This window comes from Homo sapiens, chromosome 3 (assembly GCF_000001405.40).
Source record: "Homo sapiens chromosome 3, GRCh38.p14 Primary Assembly".
Taxonomy (NCBI): Eukaryota; Metazoa; Chordata; class Mammalia; order Primates; family Hominidae; genus Homo; species Homo sapiens.
Window position 1 is genome coordinate 59,906,220 of NC_000003.12, and position 16,203 is coordinate 59,922,422.

Consider the following 16,203-nt stretch of genomic DNA (forward strand, 5'->3'; position numbering starts at 1 on the left):
ACATGAAAACTATTTTTTGATTGTGTGTGTGTTTATAAAACTTCTTGCATAAAATCAGTCTTTGTAATTTCCTAGACTTCAAGGGCATTCTTTTCAAGTTGGGGCTTCTTAATGTGGCCCTTAAAAATCCTAAAATTAAATGCATTTTTAAGCTATCTGTGTAAATATATTAAAAATTTCCCTCATTAGGAAGTTGCCAGTTTATGGCAAAGCTTTCAGAGGAGTCTGTAACACAAAGTGGATCCAGAACCACAGCATGTAGACCCCTAAAAATTAAAAACATTGAAACCTATTTAGCAAATCTGCATGAAATGAGCCAAATTCATACTGCTTCTGTGGAGTTGGTTCCTGGAAATCTAGGCATTTAGTGGTGGAGTTACAGATGGATCTCAATGGCCTGCGTGATTTTCCCAGCCTATTGTTTTCGTATCTGATTAATTATTCTCTTAAAATTTCCATCCATAAAAAATTTCCAAAGATATTAGGATCTCTCTTCACATAGTCTTTCCTTCTTTTGAATGATGCTATTGTTGTCACTTTGAAAACTGTAAATAGCATTCAAGATGATATTTAAGTTTGTGCCAACATTTAGTGGAAATGTCTAAGTTTTGAAATAGTAGGGAGCTCACATTCCATCTGGTGTGTTTTCATTTTATCTCCTATTCTCAGTGAATTTTAAAAGTCAGCTGCAGTGTCAATACCCTTTCTGCTATGCTAATGTGACCTCCACGTGGAAATCAAAGGAAAGGAGTTCTCAGGGCAAGTGATTCTTTCTCAATTGAACTATTTAGTGTCATAGAATCACAAAGTATCAGAGCTGAAAGCAGGCTTACAGGTGACCATGATGAATACCTCTCAGTTTGAAGGGAAACTGAGCCTCAGGCAGAGGGAACTGCCCATAGTCTCATTAGCCACAGGGACAGGAGTTGAACCTCGATAGGAAGCCTTTCTGATGGCCCCATATCAGGTGGTCACTTCCTTCCCCACACTTCCATGGCCCTTTATCAGAGACCACCATCCCATGTTACTTAGCGGTTTCAACTTTGTAGCACAGTTACTGTCACTAATTTCTTACCCATGTGTAGCAGGCTAATATTTCAAAGTAATCACTGGTGTGCCATTTCCTTCCTGACCATCTCTTGGCTAAAGGGAAGTGCATCTATTGCTTAGCAGTAGTCTCCTTCACTCACCAGCTTAGCCTTTAATTCAAAAGGCGCTGCCCCAGTGTGAGAGAGAAATGATTCATGCAGGGATAAGGACACAGAAGAGTTCTAACTGCCCACCCCCAGAGTTTAAAATAGAGTTTCAAGCTGGATAATGGACAGAGTCAAGAGAGATAAAGCAAGAAAGAGTGCATGTGTACATGAGTGGGCACGTGCATGCATGTGTGTGCATGTGTGCACTGGGGCAGGGTGTGCTCTACCCTTGCCTTTTCCCCAACCCCCAGGCTGAATCCTGAGGTTGGGTAATATATGAGTTTTCTATTTGCTACTATAACAAATTTCCACAAACTCAGTGGCTTAAAACAACACAAATGTATTATCTTACAGCACTGGAGGTCAGATGTCCAAAATGGGTGTAATGGGTTAAAATTCAGGTGTTGGCCAGTCTGCATTCCTTTTTGGAGGCTCTTTGCCTTTTCCAGCTTCTAGAGGCTGCCTGAATTCCCTGGCTTATGGCTCAATTCCATCTTTAAGGCCATTGATGGCCAGTTGAATCTTTCTCATATTGCATCACTCTGACACTACTTATTTTGCCTCTCTCTTCCACCTCTGTGATTATATTGAGTCCACTTGGATAATCCAAGGTCATCTCCTTATCTTAAAGTTGGCTGACTAGCCTCTAATTGAATCTTCTACTTTAATTCTCTTTTACCATCTAACATATTTACAGGTTCTGAAAGATTGGTACATAGGCACCATTTGGGAGGCTATTATTTGGTCTTCCACAGCTGACTCACTGCAAGCCATCCCTTTGAATTTGAGACTCTAAGAGTAGATTGAATGTGCATTCAGCTTTTTCCATCCAGAATTCTGGTAGTACACAGCTTTGCAAAGAGAATAATGAAGGACTATAGCAGCAACATGAATGTCTGCTGGAGGCACCTAATTTCCTGCAGGTCTTAGCAAAGTATGTAAGAACAGACAAGTTTTTTTTGAGCCCATGAGAAGAACTCTGACAAGCTGGCAAAGGCCAAAGAGTAAGTGTCCTTCATGTGCTTGTGACAAGAGACTATGTCAGGACCATGGACACCTCTAGGAATGTAGGAGGCCAAAGGTCACCATCCTGCAAAGAATGATGGCATTCCTTACGGGTATCAGAATGGACCAAAGATGCACACAAGGACCAGGCAAAGTGGATTACTTGGACACCAGAGGCCAAGGAAACAACAGCCAAGGACAACAGAATCCCTGCCTACCCCACACGACATGTTGCTCATTAAGGCCCCAGAATACAGAATCTGAATTGAGAGATTATAAGCCAGAATATGACTGAATGAATTACAGGCCTGAACTGACAGAAACGGCACTGAACTTGCTGAGCAAAACCTGGCCCAGGGCTGATGAGATGGTTTGCTTTCACAGCCAGAAATTCAACTGAACTTTGGGAGTCAAGAACATTTCATTTTTTAATAGTCCAACTGGTGACTGTGAAAGTAATCATTGTTATACTTGGCACTCAAATGAACCTCAGACACAGCAAGAGTTGACTTGGTGATTGAGAAGAAACTGGAGACAAGACAAAACAAATGGGAATATAAAACTGTAGACTATCACATCAGCACAACTGGCTAGTTTATTTTTATTTATTTATATTCCTTTTTATTTTTTTGAGACAGAGTCTCGCTCTGTCACCCAGGATGGAATGCAGTGGCACAGTCTCGGCTCAGTGCAAACTCCACCTGCCGTGTTCAAACAATTCTCCTGCCTCAGCCTCCTGAGTAGCTGGCACTATAGGCACGCACCATCGACCCAGCTAATTTTTTGTATTTTTAGTAGAGATGAGGCTTCACCATGCTGGCCAGGCTGATCTGGAACTCCTGATCTCATGATCCGCCTGCCTTGGCCTCCCAAAGGGCTGGGATTACTCGCATGAGCCACTGCGCCCGGCCCTACTTTTTATTTTTTTAGGTGGAGTCTGGCTCTGTCACCCAGGCTAGAATGCAGTGGCATGATCTCAGCTCACTGCAACCTCCTCCTCTGGGGTTCAAGTGATTCTCCTGCCTCAGCCTCCTGTGTACATGCGATTATGGGCACGCACCACCACACCTGGCTAATTTTTGTATTTTTAGTAGAGACGGGGTTTCACCACGTTGGCCAGGCTGGTCTCAAACTCCTGACCTCAAGTGATCCGTCCGCCTCTATCCCAGGGAGTATCTTTATTTTTTTTTCTAACAAGTCAAAGAGTAGAAATACCAAAAAAGTCACCTCTTTGGGTGTTTCAGCTACTTAGCTAGCTCACACACACATGTATTTCCCATGAGGTTTTGATCAAAACTAAAGTCAATTTTTTTCACTAGGTTCACCAAACAACTGCCAGTAAATATTGGCTTCTGCCAATGAATGAAAAAGAACACAGGATGTCTGCTCTTAAAAAGTGACCCCTGATGTTTCCTTCACATTATCAAATTATTGCATACTCATTATATTATGTTTGGGAAATGCAAGAGAATATGAAGAAAGGAACAGGAGTGTAACATTCTATTTGAAGCTACAATCTCTCTTAATTTCAAGGTACATGTGCTTCCATTCCATTCTCCATTTATATGCCACTCTTTCCATTCAATATTATATCCCAATGTATTTTTTCCCAGTGAATTTAGAAAGCTTATTTTGCCAAGGCTGAGGAGGTGCACCTGTGACACAGCCTCAGGAGGTTCTGAGGACATGTGCCCAAGGTGATCAGAGCACAGTTTGGTTTTATACATTTTAGGGAGACATGAGGCATCAATCAACATACATAAGATGAGCAATGGTTCATTCTGGAAAGATGGGACAACTTGAAGCAAAGGCAAGAAGACTCTAAGTGGGGAGGGAGCTTCCAGGGCATAGGTAGATAGGAGACACATGGTTGCATTCTTCTGAGTTTCTGACTAGCCTCTCCAAAGGAGGCAATCAGATATGCATTTATCTCAGTGAGCAGAGGGGTGACTTTTAATAGAATGGGAGGCAGGTTGCCCCTAAGCAGCTCCCAGCTTGACTTTTCCCTGTAGCTTAGTGATTTGGGGGCCCCAAGATTTCCTTTCACATTTCCCCCCCTTCTCTTTGAAAAAATCTTTTGGAGGAAGCATTTTAGAAGAAAATGAGTCTCTGGTCTCAGGTTTTGTCTCATCTCTCATGGCTAGGATGGCTTATTCCTAGATGGGTAGGTCTTGAGTTATTAGGTATGTTCATTTTTAGCAGGTTGTAAGTCTCATGTTCTATAAAGAAAAAATAGGGGGAGGAAGGAAAAAACAACAACAACAAACAAAAGAACAAGCCTGTAAAATCCATATAGGCCATATTACTCTGAAGTCCATACATCAGTAGGCAGGTATGAAAGTGGCTTATGTATGTAAATAGGTTGCTGTTATCTTTTTCTGAAGTTTCCGTTGTCTAGCTTCAGTTCACTTGGCTTTACGAAAGCACAGCTTAGTTTTTGGTGACTCCAAATTAGGAAAGATGGGAAAAAAAAGAAGGAAAAAAAATTGAAAACATTGTTTTGCAGACTTGTAGCCCAGAAAAATTAGAATTCATTCCAAACCACAGAAAATAATAAAAACAGGCAAGACTAGAATCTAACAACAGGTATACTACAGTTTTTGAAATATAACTTTTCTCTCTCCAGTTTCCCATTTTTACTAATGATAAATCATGGTAGGACTAATTTGCTTTATTATTCTTGGTCTGATTATTTGTGTACAGTGTTATATCATTAATATTATTCATAAAAACTCATTTGATGGCTACATAGATGAATATATAGTATTAAATATATTCCTCTATTATTTGGCATTTAAATTGTTTCCCAGGTTTAGATTTTTCAAATTAATTAGATCAGTTGTCCAAGTTTTATAGACACACACTCACACACACTCTGATGTAAACTGGAACCATAATGCAGGTAAGAGCATTTTGAACGTAGAGGGGATGACACAGAAATGCCTGGTATTCTCTGGGTTGGGTGTAGACACAGTTCCATACATGAAGGTGTGTGTTGACCAGCCTATTTTGGATTGTCTATCTTGGAGAGTACTGGTGGGCCTTTTAGGGGAGCAATTTATCAAGCTAATTTTCAGGGAGATTCCAGAAACGGGTACAGGGGACAGAGCTGGCCTTGGTGATTTGATTCTGGAGTTACCCACAAAGTTCCACTGTGCCTCTAGACTAAGCCTCATATTCCAGCTTTAAAATCCCATTCTTTTCTCAGCAGGCTTTGTTGGTTTGAAAAAATACCTTGGCATCTCAGGAAGGACAACAATTTGAACTACTATTGTAATAACTGAGGTAAAAGTTCTTTCTCAGGGGGAGGTTTTGACAGGAGGCAGGCAGTGCCCAAGAAGTGGGGAGACTTGCAGCTGATAAAGGAAAGCCACGGACCTGAGGATTCGGAGAACCAGGCTTTGAATGCAGGGGGCTGGGGAAGTGCCAGGTTCAGCTCAACAGTCATTTCTTGACAACCTACTCTATTATGAAGTGGTATTTTTTGGGTGCCGGGAGGCAGAGACGATGAAGATGAGTAAGATGCCTCTGGTAGTTCATAAAGGCAGCAGAGAGAAAAGAACCCAGACTCTGGAGCCAGACAGCCTAAGTATGAATCTCAGGTCTGTTTCTTACTCTCTCTGTGTCCTCAGAAAAGTTTTCAAGTCTGCCTATGCCTCCGTTTCTACACATGATGGAGATAAATGTACCTTAATGCCCAAATGAGCACTTCATTGTATCTACTAACTCATCAGTATGCTAATGTCATTATCATATCACAGTCTCCCTCCACATTTGAGGTATCTCCAACTAATGAAAATTTTGTTTCCAGCCTCTTTCAAGGAGTCCAATTCAGCCTTATCCCAGATCACCAATAGATGAAACTAGCCCAATGCCCCAGGGAAAGAAGGTAAATGGTAGACACCGCATGTGGATGGAAAATAATTTAGGAAAACAAGTGCAGTTGTTTATTCCAGGTCACGAAAAGGAAATTCAGCCTCAGTCTTCAATATCAACTGATAGGGTCAAGATTACCAGAGAAGCCAGCTGAAATTTCATATATAGATTTGACCTAAATGTGCAATGTCCTTTCAATAACTCTGAAGAGCTTACTAAGAGAAACAATTTTTTAGAGTCGCTAAAAGGAAATTCAGCCTCAGTCTTCATATCAACTGATAGGGCCAAGATTAACAGAGAAGCCAGTGAAATTTCATATATAGATTTGACCTAACTGTGCAATGTTCTTTCAATAACTCTGAAGAGCTTACTAGAAGAAACAATTTTTTAGAGGGAAAATATATGTTGGAGCAAGGTTACATTTCCGTGCAAAGGGAATATTCTATGAGTTCCTTAGTTACCACTAATGTAAGAAGGATTTCCAGCAGGTACTGGTGCAACTGGCCTACAAGATATTTATGGTCCATTAAGAGTTGTAAGCAAGACTGTTTCTTTTTCAGAAAAAAAGCAATTTTCTCTTAAATATTTTAGTGTGTTATGACATGAATACACTATAGGGCAAGCAAAAGTATTTAAGTGGTTCAGCACACAAAACCAGCTCCAAAAGGATGACCTTGGGAATTTTAGAAGCTTGGCTAGAGCATGTTGATGACTTCCTTGTGTTTAACAAAAACTATAAAAAGGAGTTATAATAAAGTACCTAGATGGGGACTACTGGGCCATATCCTAAAAGCAGAGAAAATTCCTGACTTTGTAAAATGTCATTTCTTTCACTGTAAGTCTAAATTACTGGTAGTGTGTCTAGGACTTATAAATTTATTGGAAATCCAGTGTGTGTGTTGTGTGTCGTGTGTGGGTGTGTGTGTAAATGTCTCTAAGGTTGAACAGGGATATGAAAACCATTTGGGATTTAGTACTGGAAGTCCCAGTGTCTAAGAAAATCGCTTTTCTCCCTATACATGGGTTTTCCATAAAATTGAAGGATAATATTTTCCTTAGGCTAAAGCAAAGGGTGATAGAAACAGGGACGGCTTTGTAGTCAAACAGACTTTGATATAAACAAGCTTTGCCATGAGCTGGTTATGAGGTTTTGACATAGATATTTACTCTCTGCAAATTTAGTTTCAATTCAATGGTATGAATGATATGCTTGGCACCTAGCAGACAGTCCAGCCCAATGTGTATTCTCATTGACAGTAATAATTTGATTATTATTCTCAAATATTACATTTATTTAAAATAGATGTATTACTAGTCTCAGTGTATTCTCAATGACAATAATAATTGTATTATATTATTATTTTTCATTAGTGCTCTCCCTAGGAGCAAAGACTGCGAACTATAGTTGTTTATGACCACTAACCTTACACTAGAAGCCCAGTATGATTGGGTATTTTTCCCCCATTTTAAATATGGGAAACATAAGATACTGAGATTTAAATAGCAAGTTAAACATTAAACAGTTTGCAATAAACCACTATGTTGACTCAAGGTGGAGAGAATTTAGAGCTACACAGGTATACCAGCTATTTCTTGATTTCCTTGATTAGAAAGAAAATCTGGCATCATTCAAATTCCTATTCTAAATCTGGGGAAGGTCATAACAGTCTCCACAAACAGCTGCTTGCCAGTAAGCTGAAGCAGTTTGAAAGCATTCTAGAGCAAAACCATCCAGAAGAAATCTAATGCATGATACATATGTTATTAAAAGTGTTTGGTAGCAACACCAAAACAAGTACAAAGAAACAGGTGAAATTAATTTTAGTGATATAATTTTTAACTCAACATTACCAAAATATTATTTCAACATGTAACTATTATAAAACATTATTAATGAGATATTTACTTTTTTTTTGGTAGAAGGCTTTGAAATCCAAACTGGATTTTACATTTACAACGCATCTCAATTCAGACTGGTCACAGGTGGCTAGCTGCTACCAAATTGAACATTAATGGTAGACGTCACCCCGCAGTGACAAAAATATAACCACATTTGAACACTCAAGCCGGGATTCTAAACATCAGGCTATGTTTCCAGGACTCTATGTCTCCAAAAGCAGGCAACTTGGAGGCCTTAGGATTCCTTCCTGCTGGCATGTGGCACATGAATGAACCTTGCTCCAAGCTAAGAGGTTACGGGATTTATTTATACAGGTTGTTTGAATTACGTGTATCATTCTTTTGTCTAAAGAATGACAGGTGATAATTTAAAAATAAAAACATTTACAAATGCTTTGGGACTTTAAAATTGTATTAATTTTTATCTTCTGTTTCCCCCTAATTCTTGCTTATTTTGATTTTCTTCATTAAAAGAGAGATAAAGTTAAATGTTTGGGGGCTTTTCACTTTGGGGCCATTATAATTTATATTGAGGGAATCGTGTCAATGCTTAATTCATATCTGTTTTATCTTTACCTAGTTTATCCATTTCTGATCATAATTTATTTTTCCAATAGTCTTTTTTTTTTTCTATCCTTAATCCCTATACTCTCATTTCTCTAAGTAAAATAGATTTGGAAAAACTACTGAGGTCTTGGTAGTTTGCTTTAGCAGGTTAACTCCAAACTTATCAAAACTTTTTGGACAATTTTAAGTGACTGTTTATTAATAGCTATGTCAAGAACCTTGAATGTAAACCTAAGATTTTTTTAAACACTGAAACAGCCCATTATTCAAGCACTGTAGTTAAACTTAGGTTTCATTGCAGCAGCCACTGTGAGACTGAGAGCAGAACTGTGAGAAGCAGGTAGGAAGACAGATGGACTCCAGCAACAAGGACACCTCGGAGGAGGCATTTTCCTCCTTCACCGGCAAGCACCTTAGAGCTTTCTGATGGAATGTATCTGGTTGGAGCGAGAATTCACTGTGGAGGGCAGATAGGACTCTGCACAAGAAAGCCTGATTCGTGAAATAATGAGAGAGGACCACATGGAGTGGTTTGATAGAGTGGATTTACTATGGATGCTATGGATAGAGTGACACGTGATTAAATTTTTCTTATTTCTCACTAACATGCGATTGAACGTATTCAAACAACATAGGAGAGCAATTTTGGGAAACTAATCTAGGGTGGCTTACCTCAAAGCAAACTCTAGGAAAAAGCCATGGCATCCTTTGCCTTGAAGCTCAACCTGTAGATACCTGCATCCTCCTCATCAAGCACTCTTCAGCCTTCTTTCATTACTTTTCCTCTTTAGTGTCCAATGACTTCATGATCTTCCTTGGAGGCTCCAGCTCACCATCACTACCATTATAGCCCTCCATGCTTCTCAACATTCCTCATTTGCTCAGCTCTAGCCTGGGCTGGGCACAGTGGCTCATGCCTATAATCCCAGTACTTTGGGAGGCCAAGCCAGGAGGATTGCTTGAGGCTAGGAGTTTGAGACCAGCCTGGACAACATTGCGAGACCTGTCTCTACAAAAGCATTAGCCAGGTGTGGTGGTATGTGCCTGTAGTCCTAGCCACTCAGGAGGCTGAGGCAGGAGGATCACTTGAGACCCGGGGTTTGAGGCTGTAGTGAGCTATGATTGGGCCACTGCTGGCCAGCCTGGGCAACAAAGTGAGACCCTGTCTCTTAGGGAAAAAAAAAAAAAAGAGTTAATAAAATGACTAACCTGAATCATATATTGTGACAGTTAATATTGAGTGTCAACTTGATTGGACTGAAGGATGCAAAGTATTGTTACTGGGTGTGTCTATGAGGATATTGCCAAAGGAGATTAACATTTGAGTCAGTGGACTGGGAGAGGCAGACCCACCCTCAATCTTGGTGGGCACCATCTAATCAGCCGTCAGCATGGCTAGAATAAAGCAGGCAGAAAGTGGAAAGAGCTGACTTGCTGAGTTTTCCGGCCTTCATCTTTCCCCTGTGCTGGATTCTTCCTGCCCTCGAACATCGGACTCCAAGTTTTTCAGCTTATGGTCTCTTGGACTTATACCAGTGGTTTGCCAGGGGCTCTCGGGCCTTCAGCAACAGACTGAAGGCTGCACCGTCAGCTTCCCTACTTTTGAGATTTTGGGACTCGGACTGGCTTCCTTGCTCCTCCGCTTGCAGATGGCCTATTGTGGGGCTTCACCTTGTGATCATGTAAGTCAATACTCCTTAATAAACTCTCCTTCATATATACATCTATCCTACTAGTTCTGTCCTGCTAGAGAACACTAATACATATATTATCTGAATATTTGTTTCTGTGAGAAAAATGGGCACAAATAACTTTTAACCAGATAAATGCTTTTCTGCTAATTTTGTGTCTCTCTTTTGAGGAACATAGAGATTTAGCTCAGTAATAATCTGACATAGGATAGGGTAAACCAGATGCTTACCCAGCTTTCTCATTACTAAAATAGGTAGTCAAAGAGCATTCATAGATACAGAGGGAGCATTTGAGGTCATAGGTCATTAAATTAGCATTACTATATGCTTATTTGTTAGTTTTATCACATCTGGTTCTTTGAATAAAAAGTCTCCATTAATTTAGAAGAACATATCAAGTTGTTATCTTATTCTGAGTGAGAGACACCAAAGTTTTCATTCCAAAATTCTGAAATACCCAGAAACTTACCACTCAGTGGGAGGACATCAGTAAACCCAGAAGACAAAAAGCTAATTAACTGTCTCACTGAAACATTCCTTCCTTTTTGAAAAGTCAACTAGGGACCCATGGACTCTGAGCCCATTGTCAAATGCCGTGTGAAAGAGATCCAAGTTCAACAACAAATATCATCAGCAATATAATGGTTCTCTCCAGCCCTCAGGGCCAAATGGCCTGCATTTTAGCAAGTTGATTTTGCTCATGAATTGTGTTAAGCCAAGCAATTGTTTCCCATGACATGCTTGAACCCACAGTTGCTTTGTCTATGAAATTCATGGTTGAATTTGTCCAATTGCTGATTGCTATTCCCACTTGCTTTAGTAATAGTCACTTCCTTCATCAGTAATGGGTTTTATATACAGTGCACAGTCACAACCATTCAATGTCACCCATAAGCATTTGATGAATTGTCCAATACAGTTATGAGAGTTGGTTATTTGGGATACAGCTAGGGTAAGTCTTACTGAGTTAATGAAATGATATGACATTAGGCCATGGGTGTTTCCTCCCCCACATTGGCTATACACACTCTTTTATCTAAGGACGCATTTGGGTCATTACCATAATCTTCATCAACTTGTCAAGATAATGAAGGGCCCATTGAGTTCAGGGAAGGCTTGGCATAATTCATGAAAATTTAAAGAACATAGATGTAGAAAGAGTTTGGGAGCTACAGATAAATAAGATCTGCATAGACAACCACAAAGGAAGAGCTTCAGCAGACAATCTGCTTTGGAAGGGGGAGAGTTTGAGCTCAGTTTTGAGACAGAAGAGAGGCTCATACTCTGAAATGTCTAAGACATACTGCTGGAGGAACAGAAGGTGAAAACAAACTTAGAGATGATAATCAAGATTGGAAAGAAAGGAAGAGTAGCTCTCGAGCCTGCTTTCAGCAAATCCTACATCTGTATTTGTTATAGCCACCACACAAATCTAGGTTTGGTGGGAGGGGGCAAGTTAGTTATCAACTTCGACATGTGCCTATCAGACTTGCTTAGCAATCAGACAAGGTTTATAATTGCTTCCGCTAACCTTTCCAGAGTACCACAATTTGTAGCCTTCTGCACACTGATTTCTGACCAAAGGATTCTGTTCCATCAATGCCCCATTAAATTCACCTCAGATGGCTGATGGCACCATGTCGAAGTCTCACCCAGTGTGGCTATGAGTTAGTGAATTGACCGTCTGAAGAGCAATATATAGTCTCCTTTTAAATTATGTTAGAACTAGCAGAGAATTTCAGGTTCTTCTAGTTCAACACCTTGTTTTTTTTTAAATGTGTTCATTCATTTTCAAATATTCACTGAAGGTCCACCCTAGGCCAGATTAGATCCCTGCCCTAAAGACTGTAACACATAATTGGGGGATGCAGGTATTGAATAATAAAGTAATAAATTATGTCAAGTGTGGGAGGTGTTAAGAAGGAAATAGGTATGGCGATATAGTAGAGTTACTCTAGAGGGGACAGAGGATTAACTATTACAGATGAAATCAGAGAACAGTGAAAAGGACCCTTTGAGGAGGTTCTGCACATGTATCCCAGAACTTGAAGTTAAAAAACAAAAAAAACTCACCTGGGGCCAGAGCACTGTAAATGAATAGGCAGGGAGATTAAACAGATGTTTCAGTTAAACAGCATGCCCAGTATACCAGACAGAAGATCCTGGGGAATAGTAATCTTTGAGTAGCAGAGAGAAGAGGAGCAGCCCATGAAATAGGCAAGGATCTTAAACTCCAATGCCTTCAGGAGCTATGCATGCACCATTAGCCAGTGAAGCAAGCCTAGGTAGAAGGCAGTCGTGGCAACTGTATAGGCCTAGAGAATGAGCAATATGCCTAACAGCATTCAAACTCATTAAAAAATACTTTACAGTCACAATAAAGCAAATCACCAAAAATACTTTGCAGGCAAAAATAAAACACATGTGAAGAGGCAAGCAAAGCCCAAGGACCATCAATATGCAATGCTGAGCTGCAGGAAAAGCAGGAAGTAGGCTGGGAATGAGAAAAAAATAAATACAGTGTGGTTTCCTCTAAGTTAAAAAGAAAAGGTTTTACCTTTTATTTCCATGAACTTAACAATGAAAACAATATGTTTCACTAGGCAGTCACCCAAACATTGCAATACTGATCACAAAAAACCCCCCACTATTTGTTACAGAACTTGTAAAACCTGAAAATGGCGGTAATGATCAAATGGGTCAAATGTGTAAAGAGAGGCACCACAAATCCAAGTGGCCCATGCACTGACCAAATGTAGATATCCTCTTGAAGAATTGTGGCCATGTGCTCTGTGCTTGAGTGAATCCAGGGATGGGAAGCTCACCCCCTTGGAAGGCACTCTTTAAGTGTTCATTTTTTTTCACTTTGACCCGTTATTATGGAGAGCTAATGATATCTGCCACTTTGTAGTCCGATACTCACAGATCTGCCCTCTGGAGCCACATAGAATGTATTTAATATCTTTCCACCTGCCAGCCCTTCAGATATTTGGAAACAGTGACTCTGTTACTATCTTCCCTCTACAAGTCTTCCTTTTTCCAGGCAAAACATTCCCACCATCAATTAGTCTCCAAATCTGTTTTCAGACCCAACCACCTTTCTTATGAACCTTCTTATTTGTCACTAACCATCTTAAAACAGTGCCTAGAAAGAACACAATGTTCCTAGCCAATTTATACTCTGGGGCTTCTTTAGGCATAATTTTCTATGTCTGCAGCAGTAGAAATACAATTACATTTTATGGAGCTCAGTCTCCTGCTGTTCCTGTTTCCTACCTCCCACCCTCCAAGGCAGTCTGTTTGTTGAATGTCCTGAACAGATGCATAATCTAGAGCAAGTGCTCCCATCAATATAAAGAATGCCATCCCTCATCACTCCATCGCTTCTGATTAAGATCATTTGGTCTAATGTACATTAAGTTCTATTCCAATAATGCCTGTGCGGTACTGCATGCTTTTCATGCCTCTTTCTGGACACTGTGTTATTAGATACTCAGCCTGGAGAAACATTTCCATACAAAGAGGAAGATAAAACTGAGAATGAATGGTTAAAGGCAAAGAGAAAATTGGGAATCTCACCCTTGGAAAGAATGGTAGATGGGAACATCCAATGACCTGGCTTTGAATCTGGTTCTCTATTTACTAACCATTGCTACTTAAAGAAAAATAGTAATAATAACAGTAAGAACAGAAACTACTATCTATTAACAAATTCTTGGTAAGTACCAAGCCCTGAAATAAGCCTTTCAGGCTACAATATCATATGGTTAGTAGATGCCACTGGGATTTGAACTTACTTCTGCCTGTTTCTAGACTTCAATCTCTACATAGTCTTGTACCACAATTTCCCTTAGTGGATACTGTCTATACTACATATGACTTATACCACTGATTTTTAAAAAAAGAAAAACTCTCACAGTAATTACTTCTCCTGAGATGATCCTCCAAAATGTGGGAAGTAGAAACATGTGTTTTCTTTTCTGTGGGGCCATCAGAGCATGCAGACAAGGGCAAAGGAATAAGACAGGAGAGAGAGGCCATACACCAACCACAGCACTGTACATTGTGTCTTGAACTGGGCTGAAAAGTAACCATGCAGCTTCATTTTAAGCACAGTTGGAACATCGACAAGATTTCAAGGTGACTGTTCAGCCTAAGGAAACAGTGTTTTCAAGCACTTTTATGCTACTTTAGCAGTATTTACTAGTATATAATTCACGTGCTAATTTATTCATTAAAACAGTCGTATTTGGCAACATTAACCTTAGTTTACATTAGTGAGATTGGTATTTGTATTTTAATTACATCTCTTTATAATTACTCTATAATTCTGATTTTCTTCCAATGTGAACTAAGCCCTTATCAATCCCCAAACTGCATTCCACATCCAACGAAAATGAGTTCAAATTATAGTTTTACAGAAAATGGCTTTGTAAAACCCAGAGAGCCTATTCCCAAAGGTAGTCATGCATCAGAGTCTCCTGGGGATTTCCTTATACAATGACTGATTCCTGAGTGCTGTGCAATCTACTTGATCAGAATCTCCAGCGACGGGACCTCCTGGGAATTGAGACCTGCAGCAACTGGTCCACAAATCAGCACTTAGGGACTGGTGACTAGACTATTTCCACTCTACACACATCCAGTACAGCTCTTGGAAAACATACAAAGCAAAAGATAGTAAGGGTTATCCTAAAGGCAGAATAACCAGCCACCTCACGGAATCCAATGTGTTCCAGAAACATTAATTATACGTTTCATTATTAACTGCTGACCTATTGTTCTTTATTTTCAGGGTTTGAGTTGCTGTTTTAATTTCATCACTGCAAAGAAGCCCTATAGACACACACACACAAAAAGATGCATAGATTTTAACTGGTCCCTGGAAACAAGGTAGAGATAATCATGTGGTTTATTTGATAGAGCCACATGATAAACAATCGAGATAAACAATGTGTTTTAAAAAGCATTCTCAAAGAGTTAGAACAGGAATGTCAAAAAGACGGCAAATATGATACCTACCTCCTATCCAATGCCCTTGGCAGGCGTTGCTAATCAATCACAGCATTTTTCCTTGCATCCACAAACAGCCTCAAAGTCCATTTAACCAATCACTCCAGGGCACTAGTGCTATCTAATCTGCTCTACCGTGTGGGGGACATACTTTCTCCTCTTTGGCTACAATAAACAGGTAAATTGAAATCACCTTATAACAGCCTGATCCATGACAGGCTGTATGCTCCACAAGGTGGAAATGGGCATCTGAAAGTTCTCATGTAGACAGGGCTTTAGGCGCAGATCACCTGGCTCTTGCTGGTTCATGTTTGTAGTGGTTTCACACTTGTATCTTTGAATGGGAGTACTTAGAAATAAATTAACTGCTTTAATATTTATGATATGTGAGTTACACTTACTCAAACCAACCTAGTTTTTGCTCATGATAATTTACAGTTTCACTTTGAATAAATGCTGTTGGGAAAGACAAGCTGAGTTCCAAAGTGTTTTAAAAATTAAGTGTAGCATTTGACTAAAAGAATCATATATCAATCTGCTTGATTTCCAGTGGTAGCACTGTAGGTTTTCTTCTATGGAGATTCTGGGCCATATCTCCATGCAAATATTTACTGTCCTGGTAAATGACAGGATAGAAATCACAAGGACACTTGGTTTCTGCTGGTTTTCATTTGAAAAAGAAAATCATTATAATTAATTAGTCATGGGTTCCCACGATGGCCATTCTTGACTCCTTGGCCTCTATTGCCACTTTCCAAGTCTGGCTAAATAGAATTCCATTTCAGACCATATCTAGGGTAATACTTGATTCATTAGGTTGATGTCATCCCACCGACAGTCCCCGTGATCAAACAATAAGATCAGAGAGAACAGACCCACCTCCTCATAGATGCTGTCATTCCTGTGAAAGTCTCCAGCCTTCCTGGGAAGAACATGGACGTGAACGTGCTGAAAAT

At 39.8% G+C, this 16,203-nt stretch overlaps 1 protein-coding gene and 1 long non-coding RNA gene across 11 annotated transcripts in view; one reads left to right on the forward strand and one right to left on the reverse strand.

Annotated features, from left to right (window-relative positions):
• Positions 1 to 15,377, forward strand: part of LOC105377113 (uncharacterized) — a 70,563-nt gene extending 55,186 nt beyond the window's left edge. For all 3 annotated transcript variants that reach the window (XR_007095936.1, XR_940887.4, XR_007095937.1), the window contains exon 3: positions 1 to 15,377. This exon is cut by the window's left edge and continues 27,239 nt beyond it. This is a non-coding gene — a long non-coding RNA (uncharacterized LOC105377113).
• The window catches only part of FHIT (fragile histidine triad diadenosine triphosphatase), a 1,504,176-nt gene that overhangs the window by 158,943 nt on the left and 1,329,030 nt on the right, over positions 1 to 16,203 (reverse strand). For 6 of the 8 annotated variants that reach the window (NR_135491.2, NM_001166243.3, NM_002012.4 and 3 more), the window contains one exon: positions 16,127 to 16,195. The exons of the other annotated variants lie outside the window; for them this stretch is intronic. Coding sequence is in view for 5 of the 6 variants with exons in the window: in NM_001166243.3 (NP_001159715.1) it covers positions 16,127 to 16,195 (69 nt within the window). In the remaining variant the exon portion in view is untranslated. The remainder of the gene's footprint in view (positions 1 to 16,126; positions 16,196 to 16,203) is intronic. 8 annotated transcript variants of the gene reach the window in all.